Source organism: Homo sapiens, chromosome 5, assembly GCF_000001405.40.
Source record: "Homo sapiens chromosome 5, GRCh38.p14 Primary Assembly".
Classification (NCBI taxonomy): domain Eukaryota; kingdom Metazoa; phylum Chordata; class Mammalia; order Primates; family Hominidae; genus Homo; species Homo sapiens.
In genome coordinates this window covers 66,734,537-66,746,579 of record NC_000005.10, presented here as the reverse complement: position 1 = coordinate 66,746,579, position 12,043 = coordinate 66,734,537, and the positions used below count along the sequence as shown (strand labels likewise).

The 12,043-nt window shown below is 42.3% G+C and overlaps 1 protein-coding gene across 10 annotated transcripts in view; it reads right to left on the bottom strand.

Moving 5' to 3' along the window:
* MAST4 (microtubule associated serine/threonine kinase family member 4) overlaps positions 1-12,043 on the bottom strand; it is a 573,201-nt gene that overhangs the window by 423,014 nt on the left and 138,144 nt on the right. The window contains exon 1 of one of the 10 annotated variants that reach the window (XM_047417159.1): positions 9,759-11,056. The exons of 8 other annotated variants lie outside the window; for them this stretch is intronic. In XM_047417159.1, the coding sequence (XP_047273115.1) occupies positions 9,759-9,785 (27 nt within the window). In that variant the 5' untranslated portion in view covers positions 9,786-11,056. Of the gene's footprint in view, positions 1-9,758; positions 11,057-12,043 lie in introns of those variants that run through there. One more of the 10 variants, XM_047417160.1, reaches the window with a different exon arrangement.

Here is a 12,043-nt window from a genome sequence, read left to right as displayed (position 1 = left end):
CGATGCCACAAAACCTGACATTATATGCCTGCTTCCAGCTTTGGGAGAGAAAGTAGACTCCCTACTAGGCAGTAGTATTCCCATTTTACCAAAGAGGAAAAGGATTCAGAAAGATAAATCCTTCACAGCTCTCAGCTCATTAGGAGGTACTATGAGAAATCAAGCCCAAGATGCCCAACTACAAAGCCCACATTTCTTCCTCTGTTCGACTGTGTTCCAGAAAGGCTCACTGTGGCAAGGTGCCCAAAGCTTTGGAAAGTCAACCTTAACCTCCTCTTACATCCCCAGTCTGAGAAGACTCCACAAAGACAGGATTCTTAGAACCTGGTGTCAACCAATCCAAATGATCCAGTTCAATCCTAATTGGCTGGCTACCCAAGTAGTTTCTAGGGTTTCTATGGCGGCAATTTTTAAGATAGAATTACAGAATCACAAAACATTAAGCAGTGGAAAGGACCTAAAAATCATCTGTAGTCTAATTTCCTGGTTTTACTGGAAGATGGAGGCCCAGACAAGTCAAATGAACTGCCCAGATTTAGAAAGATGACTGGTGCACGAACGCAGACCAGAACCCAAATTTCTACACCCACAACCTACTGCCTATGTGCTGTGCTTCCTGCAGTCCCGCAGTATTCATCACTGTTACAATCAAGTGTATGATTTCCTCTGGTTTTCTACTCCCACATACTCTATCAACCCAGAATTGCTTTAAAAAAATTTGTTTACCCAAATGTCTACTATGGACTAGACATTGCGCTAAAGGTTAAAGCTAGAAAACAGAAAAGATACAGTCATCTTCCTTGGGACACTTCCATCCAAGTCCACAGACACAAAACCACAACCATTAAGACAACATGGCAAAAGTCGGGACAGAGTCAGGTACAAGCAATTCTACAGCTTTGAGCAGAGCTGTGGTCCAACACCTAATAAATTATTTTCCTTACCTTGTTAGCTGGGCAATGCTGGTATTGCTTAATGCCTTCAATTGCATTTACTCACATAGGTTACAGTCCTCTCAGGTACCCAGAAGCCAGTCCAGGATGGAGCACAGAGCAGTACGGAGCTGTATATTGATCATTAATCGATGATCGATTAATTGATAATTAGCGGTATCTAAACACATGCTATAATTATTTTCCTTCTGATTGGGGGCTTTTCAAATCCATCCACCACGTTCTAAGAGGTAAGAGAGAAAGAGCAGTCTCTCCCACTCCATGGGCACCATACATCATAATGTGGGCCTTTAAGATCCTAAACATCTACCCTTCTTTAGGCAGCAACTGCTTCCTATGGACCAGATGCTGAAGGCATCGTGCAGCTCATCACATTACACCACCCAAAAGGATCAGAAAACAGTGGTGAGGAGGAAGGCAGTGGTTTGAGGCAAGCCCACAGCTGGGACTTCATCCAGCCACTTATCAGCCGTATAAATTTAAGGTGAACAAGTTTTAATTTCATCTATAAAATAAGGATAATTATATCCTACTCACAGGATCTTGGTCAATTAATGATCAATACACAGCTCCTGGGATCATACCTGACACCAAAAAGGCTCTCAACTGCTTATTCTCTTCCCCCTTCCCTATGCTTTCTTAGCCTAGTACATTTTTTCAGAACTATAAAGGAAAACAATCAATTGTTGACCTGTTCAATAACATGCATCGAAGCCAAAAATAAACTTTATACAAGTTTCTGGAAAAAGCTTTAAAATAAACTCTTTGATATTGTTTGAGTCTGTATCCCCACTCAAATCTCATGTTGAAGTGTAATCCCCAATGTTGGAGGAGGAGCCTGGTGGGAGGTGATTGGTCATGGGGGTAGATCCTTCATGAATGGGTTAGTGCCATTCACTAGGTGCTGTTCTGGTGACAGTGAGTGAGTTATCCTGAGATCTGGTTGTTTTAAAAGTATGTAGCATCCCTTTGCTCCTGTTCCTGCCATGTAAGACATGCATTGCTTTCCCTTCACCTTTCATCATGGTCATAAGTTTCCTGAGGCCTCACCAGAAGCAGAAGCTGCCATGTTTCCTGTACAGCCTGCACAACTATGAGCCAATTAAACCTCTTTTCCTTATAAATTACTCACTCAGGTATTGCTTTATAGCAGTGCAAGAACTAATACATACTTCTTATAAAATAACGTTTAAGCTCTTTAACTGGACAAATGCTAAAAATTAATATTCATTTCATGACTTCATATTAAGAGGGAAAACGAGCTGTTTGAGGAACTCTACAGTGGATAGCTCTGACCCAAGAGGCAAAATAAATGTTCTTAAGAAAAGCATTCTTAAGAAACATGAGTCACGAATTATCAGCAGCCCAGGGGCCCCACGTGGTTAAAATGGAAATCATTCAGAAAGACACAGAAAGATAACCGCTGAGCAACTGGCAAATGGTAAGAGGGTGAGATGTCTCTGGGGGATGGAGGGGCACTGGGCCATTTGAGCTATCTTATCAGCTTTATTTCTTCTTAAAGGGAAAAAAATAACCAGAAAACATGAAGGGAATGGTAAAGAAAGAGAAGGAAATGACTGAGGGATAAAGAAGAGAGAGAGGAAGAGGAAAAGAGAAGAAAGTGGCCAAATAAGAGATGTTCAGAAAATGCAATGCCCTGCTTAGCTCCTGAGTTCCCCAGAGCTGTGCCCTCTCCCCCTTCCACTCGAAGCTGTGTCCCACTGTAGAACCAAAGACCAATCATCTCTCTCTTAGCCAAAACAATACATAATATGCAATTGTAATAAATATCTATTAATAAATAATTATAAGTATAATCCACGAGAAAAAAATTTTAAAATTCCAAGACCTTAAACCAGCAGCCCCCTGGCACAGCATAGATCCGTCTTACCCCTGAATTCTATCTGACTGGGTTTCTGCCCTGCTATCCTCCTGTTTCCCTGGGCTGAGTCTCTGCCTCTCCATTACTAGTCTCCCTGCCCTGTGTCCCCAGAACTCCAGGTCTGGGGGCCACCCTGTGCCCAGCGTCCTGCACTGATAACTCCTGCCACTGAAACGCAGCCTGTGGAGGACTGGACTCTGACCCAGTGCCAGGCCTGTGCCACCAACCTGCCCAAAGCACTTCCAAATGCCCGCCCCACCTCTGTGGGAGGCACGCAGGAACTTAGGGCTTGCTTTAAAACTTTGGGTAATAGCACTGACACCCCAGCTTCTCTCTTCCCAGGTCACGCCATCCCAGGGCTGAATCCCAAGGCAAACTTCCCCACCTGGATTCCCAGTCCCCAAGAGACGAGCCAGGTCTAACCTGCCAACCTCTCAAGGGAACATGAACTAGAGAAAAAGGGGAAGGAGAAAATGACAGAAACACATACATGAGGAGGAAGAGGGGACATGGGAAATGCAATGAGAAAAACAAAAGAAAGAAGAAAAGGCTGTGAAGAAGAAGAAAGCAGGAGATGGGACAGAGAACAAGGGCTGCTCTATCATATGAGTGATTAGAGAAGGCTGCTCTGAAGATGTGGCATTCGAACAAAGACCAAAAGGAAGGAAGCTGGTGAGCCGCGCAGGGAGTGGAAGCTTCCAGGCCAGGAAACCGGCAAGCATCAAGGCCCTGAAGTGAGAGTGCATTCAGAGTGCAAGCTACTATTCACAATTAATAGCTTGATAGATTTCCCCAGAAAACAAATCTACTTGAACTTTTCTTCCTATTCTACTATTCACCCGGGGTTATGAGCATGTGAGCAACTTGATGACACTGTACTCTGAATTCTGATTAGCTGACCAACCATTCCTCAAACTTCCTTCATGTATTTGTTCTTGACGACAAGATCTGGCTCCAAACAGGCCTGACACCTCCGCTTGCCAGAAGAAAACTCTCCTGTAGGTTACAAGAGCACAAAGTTACTCAAGATGTTCCCACCTTCACATGCAATCAGGAAAGGAAAAGATTTCGCCTTTGGGTACAGGTTCGCAACTCCACTAAAAGAAGTATTCACCAGAAGCCACAGTGTAGTAAAAACAGAAAATAATTTGTCAAGAGTCCCTTGAGTCTTCCAGGCAGCCCCCAAGGACTGGGTGGGGTTGCCTAAATAAGGCCAAGGCAGCAGCTGGAGGAGCGCTCAGGAGCTTTGAGAGTTGCATCACATTCCTTTTTGTTTTTTTAACCATGTCTATAAACAATTTTATTCTAAAATTATTAATAAAATTACAACTAATCTTAGCCAATAAGAGTAGCAATTCTGTTTCCTTTCCCCCTAAAGGGCAAAAACAAAACACACCAATACACAAGAACCCCAGGGAACAACTTAATGAGCTTGAGTGCCAACCAGTGGCCGCCTCGGGAAGTGTGAACACACTGGCATCTTATGAACTCTGAAAACAGACTCGGGCAGATGAACCGCGAGAGCAACTGTACGGTCAGCATCTGACCCAGCTCCGTCTCTCACGCTCCAAGTGTCTATTTTCCCATTCCTGCCTGCACCTCACTGGTAGACCAGCTCTGCAATGAAGGCGTGTGGATCGAAAGGCTGGAAACAAGAGACAAGCTAAGGGGAAGCTTCTAAGTGAGAGCCTGAAATTGCCTGAGAACACAGCACTCCGCTCTGGGAGTACAGATGCTCATCCTTTCAATAAATCTAGGGCTCTAGTATATAACAACCTGAACTTACAGTAGATCAACTCGATTTCCTCTCCTTATACAGGGATTTTAAGCAATGAATTCCTCTGCCATGTAAGTGTTTAAAAATTAACAAAAATCAGTTCACAAGAAATGAAAGAACAGCTCTGATTTAGGAGACATACCCATCTGACTGGCCTGGCTGGTGAAGCACACCGATCCCCTGACCATGAGTATCATTACAGCTGCCAGAAGCCAGGCCACCTCCTCACCAGGGCTATGGGGTTCTTTTTCCTCCAATTCCACATATTTCTCTAAAGGTTACAGTCACCTTTAGAGTCCACTGTTGAGAGGTCCCGTTCCCACAAAGCTCAAACCACTATATCCACTAAAGGTACATTCCTGACCTTCACTGTTATTGACATTCCAGGGATTGGCAAACACAGCCTGTGTGCCAAATAAAATTTTATTGGACCACAGCCACACTCGTTCTTTATGTTGTGTCTACATGCTGCCTACTATAGCAGAGTTGAGCAGCTGCCACAGAGACCATATAGCCCACAAAGCCTAAAATATTTACTATCTGGCCCTTTATAGAACAGGTTTGTGGGTGCCTGATTTATATAAATTCACTGAGCATCTACTATGTGCCAAGTGTGGTTTGGCCACTGTGCAGACAGCAGTGACCAGAACAAAGTTCCTTTCTTCAGGTGGTAATAAGGTCTGTGAAGAAGAAGAAAGCAGGAGATGCGACAAAGAATGAGGGTTAGTCTATCATATTAGTGACCAGAGAAGACTGCTCTGAAGAGGGGGGCATTTGAACAAAGACCCAAAGGAAGGAAGGGGGTGAGCTGCACAGGGAGTGGAAGCTTCCAGGCCAAGGAAATGGCAAGTATCAAAGGCCCTGAAGTCAGAGTGCATTCAGTATGTTTGAGAAAAAGCAAGCAAGGTGGGTGAGCAATGTCTCCTTTCTCCATGGTCACAACCTAGCAGCCTTCTCCCAAACAGGCCAGGCACCATCTTAAGTGTTTTCAGAACATTATCTCATTTGATCTTTAAAACAACCCTCTGATGTGGTATTATCATCCCCATTTCACAGATAAGGAAACTGAGGTTTTCGAAGCTTATAAGTGACTTGCCCAAGGTATCAGAGACCCACAGTTAGCTGTCAAACACAAGCCATTCCGGAACTGTTTTCCATTCCATATTCCCGCAGGCAGCACCAGCACTGTCACCCAGCCACAGACCAACAGCTTGAGCGACGACTGTACCTGATCCAAGTTGCACAGGTGGAAGAGGCTCCACTGGGCCTGCTTCCTTTTCCACTCTGCTTTTTTGAATCATGTTCTCACTGAATTTCTCTACTTCCTCCACCTCCACATTTATGTAAGCCTCCTAAGATCACCTCCAAAACAAACAGCCAAGCTATGGAAGACTGATGGATGGGAGAGAAGAAAGGAGAAACGGAACAAACATTTGCAGGCCTTCTGTGAGCCAAGCACAGATGTAACAAGCACTCCGTGGACCTTCTTTCTGGGAGATGATGGTTAATGAGAATATTAAGGTAGAAAATACAGCATTTTCCATGTGGACCTGTGCATTCCACAAGGAGGAATTGCTTGAGGAGTCTCCACAGCAAACATAATTTAAATTTAAGAGACAGCACGTTTTCACTGTGTTCCTCAAGATCAATCATCAGCCAATGTTCTGAGCCAAGACATACAGCAACTTCCTAATCTTTCCTGCCTCACAACATGTTCTCTGCTGCCTTCCACCAGCCTCTGCTGTCTCTTTTAAGAGTTTACATCAGCCTCTAATGCTTTCCTCATGTGATGAGATGGCCTTTCGACTTTATTTAGGGTTTCAACTTTATGCAGGGCACAACTGATGAGTCCTCCAGCAGCCACCCACCCACATCCACACTCAGTTCCTCCCACAGGCCTAGCAGCCCTCAGGCAGTTATGCCTCTTGATGACTTCTCACTACCTCCCAACATTCCCAAGACAAAGGATATGGATTAATTCCCCGGTATAGCCCTAAACATAGTACTACTAAGAAACCTAAAAATCATTCACAACAAACTTCAACAGCAGCATGTCTTGGAGAGGAAGTATTCCTCAATAAATGTCACCTACAAAAAGCAGGATGAAAAAAAAAAAAAAAACAAGAGTGATGGAAAATAACATCCTGCTTGGCAGAAAAAAAAACATGTACAAAAATGCTTAGCTGAGTCTTCTGTTTTAGCATTTGCCATGGGAAAACATAATCCCATTCTTCCTTAATAGGTCGCTGCCTGCTCTGAATCCCGGTGTCTTGTGTGCAGCCCCCAACACTGAGCAAAAGGTTTGACATATTTAACATCCGGTATACGTGTCACAGGAATAAACATCTACTTATACTTGACATTATTAGATGACAACTACCCCAGGGCGTTGAGAGATATGCTGTTGAGGGGGAGTGAAGAGAAGACTGAAACAAAGTCGAAATGCCTCTATATATGTGAAAAGAGAGGAGGTCTGGCTATTTCTAAAAACTCCTTGGAGCAAGGTCAAGAAGGGCCCCAGTCATTCTCTACCACCTATTTCTACCCCTTTGTGATTAAGGCAAACCAGTGTTACTCATCTCCTCTTTTTCTCCCAAAAATTCCTGCCCCAGGAAATACAGAGGTCAAGGAAACAAGAATGACTGCTGCCCCCACAACCGAAGAAAGATGCGACTAAACAACTGGGTGTCCTCTAAGGAAGGAAGTGTAACATAATTTTACACTTTATGTTACATAAATGATATTTCACTAAAAATGAGAACTATGTGCCATTTCCCCATTTTCACAATGAATGAGAATATAGGAAAAAGCAGGAAATTCAACTCTAAAAAATTACTTTTGAAATCTTAGGAATGACTGTTACATAAATCACACAAATGCATTTAAGTGATGGCCTTTTTTGCTTGATAATAAAGCACTCTTCATCACGGTAGCTAATTAAGCAAAAAAAAAGATCTATAGGAAAATGGCAATGAAGGTATCAATAATTTAAGACTTCAATAACTGTTCTAAAAGAGGGAAGTAATTGACTAAAAACCTTCTAAGGTTTCTTACAGTTCGGTCTTATGTAGTCACAATATCTCATAACAAAAATTTAAACAACAATGGTACTTAAGTTAGAAATAAAAGTTCAAAGAAGAAGAAAGGGATTTATGAACAGCCTAAAAGTATGGTGTGGTTCACAGTGCAAAAGGCCTGACAGCAGCTGAGTATTCAGCACAATCAAGATCCGAGAAAGCAGACCTGTGTCGGAGCACTTTCAACCGGGAGGAGGGCATCCTAACCACCTACGCTGGCCTGCATTAAACATGTTTGCAACACAGAACCCATTCTTCACCTGCTCCTGCTATATTCTCCTCCGCCGTACCTAGCACCTAACACACTGCACATTTTACTTGCTGGCTTATTGTCTCCCTCCCCCATTAGAACATAAGTTTCATGAAGGCAGGGTCTGTTTTGCTCCCTGATGAATCCCCAGAGGCTAGAAGAGGGGCCTGGCACATAGCAGGTATGAAAGCCAATAGTGCCAAGTAAACTCTTTTGGGCTCTCCACCTTCTAGGCATACAATAATATTGTGCTCTCTAGCTCCTTGCAGTTGGACAGGGCCAGGTGACAAAGTCTGACCAGTGAGTGTGAGAAAAGGCAGGGTGTGTCCTTTCCAGGCTAAAGCACTAAATTGTGGGTGTGAGATCCTCCAGAACACTCTTACCTAGCTCTGCTTCAGTGACTGCTTGCTCCAAATGGGGGCTGCTCTGTCAGCCTATCCCAGAGTGAGGACACTGCCAGGTAGAGCCTCAGTCTACTCACAATGGATATAAAGCACGAGTAAGAAATACACTTTTGTGCTTTATGTCATGGGTTGTCATCACCCTTCCCAACTGATAGGGTAGGCATTCAGTAAAAATCTGTGGTTGAATTTGTCAGCTCTCTTTGCACAGCTCATCCAGCATAATGAGTTCTGAGGGGACCTATTTGCTCACAATGCACCCCGTTCTAATTTGGAACAACTCCCATGTCCTTCCTGGTACTAAGTCAAAAACTATGTTCTTGAAGAATCCAAATGGCAGGTCAGGGTACAAGCAGGACTTTTTGGTTTTTTCTTTCCTCATCAGCCTCACTCTCTTCTTTTCATATCTGCCTCAAGCGGTCCTAAGGAATTCTCTGATTGATCGAAGTCAAGAGAGTGACTTGGAAATTATGCTGTAAGGAGTGATCAATATTAGCAAAAGAAAGGCTTGTCTTGTAGAGGTATCACTCAGAAACCTCTAATGAGCCTAAAGCTCCTTCCATAAAAGCACAGGACCTCAAAGGATGAAGCAGCCTCTTCAGTATGTACCCTAGACACAGAAAGAATCCAGAAGTAGAAGACAGAAGGGATCAAAGTACACGGAGAGATACGAGGCCAAGGAGGGACTCTCAGCTGCCCAGGCGCGGTGATCTTATAATAGGCAGACAAATTCCTTGGTACTCCTCTTTTCAAGAGGTAGTACCCTCCCCTTGAGTGCAGGCTGTACTTAGTGGCTTACTTTTGAAAAACAAAACACAACATAAATACTGGTGTGTGATTTCTGAGGCTCAACTGTAAGAGGCATTGTGGCTTCCTCTTTGCATTTTCTCTCATTGATGAGGACAACACAAGGACACTCAGCAGCCCAATGGACAGGTCCACATGGTGAGGAACTGAGGCTTCCTGACAACAGCCCACACCAATGTGCCAGCAACATAAAGGAACTGTCTTGGAAGTGGATCCTGCAGCCCCAGTCAAACCATCAGAGGACTGCTGTCCTGGCTGCACCTTCCTGAATTACCCAGAGCCACCCAACCAGCTAAGCTACTCCTGAATTCCTAACTCAAAAAAACTGGGATAAAACTTTTTTTAAGCTATTCAATTTGGGGGATAATTTCTTACACAGGAAAAGGTAACTGCTATATCAAGTGTCCTCTGGCCTGAGTATATGCATATGTTATACAAATTATGTGTTCATAGTGACTTTACAGAATGGACTATATACCAACCCATATGACTCGGATATTACAGAGGGGACGCAAACATGTTCAACCAAGTACAGCATTCTCTGGTTCCTAACCCTAGGTTTTCCTATTCATCATATGTAAGTGTACAAGAGTAGTACCCTTCACTGCTACCTTGATCTTTTGAAAACAGCCTTCCATCTATCACCTGTGAAAACCAGTTTCATCTCTGTGTATCACACCATCTCTAGGCTTCACACTTCATGACTCAAACTCTTGAAGAACTGCAAAAGAGCAAAGAAAAGAATAGACCACTGTTAACTGTACCTGAATGCAGGACTGCAGAAAAACTACGTTAATCCTTATGTCCTCATACTCTACCTTCGTCTTAAAAAAGACTTAAAGAACTTAGTAAAATAGCCATAGTAGGAATCACTTTCCCTGACACTGACCCATTGCCAACTTTAGCAGCTGAATCATTGTTGCTACCTTTCTTCCCTGCCCAAGAACTTGCATTTCATTCTCTGGGTAATTTGCTATTTTTTTAAATAGTAATTCAGCGACTGACCCAGAGCCAACCTACAGCTCCAGTTGTGTGTGTGTGTGTGTGTGTCAGCAGGCTAAGAGGCACATATAAGGCAAGGCACACACATACAAGGACCAAAAAAAAAAAAAAAAAATTCCCTCACTACATGGTTGCCAAAGTATTCTCCATCTCCTGGCATTCTGCATCTTTTGCCTCTTTCTTAGTTGGAGTATAAGTGGTAGCAGGGAGACCACCATTAAGCAGCCCAAGGTTTGGTTTAACTTCTATAACAATGTTTATGAATAAAGATGGAAAGGAAGGATCAATGGTATGCAAGTAAGGTTAAAACAAACAAGATGGTGCTAGGGTCTGCCATGGAGTCAGCTTTGAAACAGGATATCTGAAAACAAGTGATAGAAATGGGAAAAATAACTTCTCCAGATCCCCCAAATCCCACAGCTATTTGCTCTAAGATTAAATGTTCCATATCACCCTATCTTGTAGCAATAATGGAAACCTAACATCAGAAGCATGAAACAATAAAGGTCTTCATAGATTCCTTCTGCTTAAAAAGAAAGGCAGTGTGTTGTCACCTGTGAAAGAAATGGTTTCCAATTCCATTTCAAAAGCATTTCTCGAGTAATTACTCTGTTATGACATTACACCACAAATGGGGGTGAGGGTACAGTGATAAACCTAGCTCCTACAGTCAAGAATCTCTCAACCTAACAAGTGACTTTTAACCTTTAAGAGTCGCAGATCCCGTTGTAAATCCTATACTTCTCTCCAAATATACATATAAAAACATATTCACATAAAAACAAAATTTTGCTAGCAAATTTAGGTTATCCACAAATTGTCAAAGCGCATGGATCCTAGGATAAGTGTATCTTGCTCTACCAGGAGAAAAAAATACAAGATTTATTTAATAAGCAAGTATCATATAATATATAACACTAGATATTAGCCTAGCCTCTCTTCCAAGTAGTTGAAAACACCACCTTCCATCTTATTGTATACCAAATATCACAGAGGACAAAATACATATGTTCATATAAAAGTAACATATAAAATTAACATTTACTATTATTTCTGGTATCACTTTTTACAAGCAATAGTAATTGAACTAAAATGAAACCTGCATGAAACCTAAATTTGTGAGATCTACATTTTTAACCTCATCCTTATACTGAGTATAATTATTTTGTATGATTAATTCTGAATATAAAACAATTTCTGTAGTTCCAAGATAGCAAGCTGAGCACTTCTTATTAGTTTCAATGGTTTAAATAATTTGGGGCTATAATACTGGTAGAAAAGATTCACCTGTATGTTTCCCTTTTTAAAAAAGCTCAGTTTCTCTACATAAACTGCATTTATGCTGTCAGAAAGAAAACAGGAATGACAAGTTATTTAGGCACCAAGGATTTAAAAAATATAAAAATGAAATCTCCTCTCTTAGTTTCTGCAATGTCTTCTAAGACAGGCTCTTGGATACAGGTCAGAAGATATTCTTAAGGGTGGAGCATGGAATGCTAACAGGTGTCCCGTGGAAGAATTAAGGAATAACTAGAACAAAGAGAAAGAACAACACTGCAAGGGGTGGGGAGTCCTGACAGCTAGAAAATAGGAGAAAAACAAATACAAATTGATGTGTTTTCAAGCTTCCAACACTGTGCCGTCCAATACAGTGGCCACCAACCACATGTGGCTATTTAGATTTAATTTAAACTAAAAATTTAGTTCCTCAGTTGCACTAGCCTGTTTTCAGAGCTCAAAAGCCACATGTGGCTAATGGCTACCATACTGGACACTGCAGAATATAGAACATGTCTATCATCTCAGAAAGCGCTATTGGACAGCAATACTCTATAAAGTGAGAGCCCAGAAAACATTAAGAAGTTACTTAGTCTTGAACAGAAAGTATACAGAT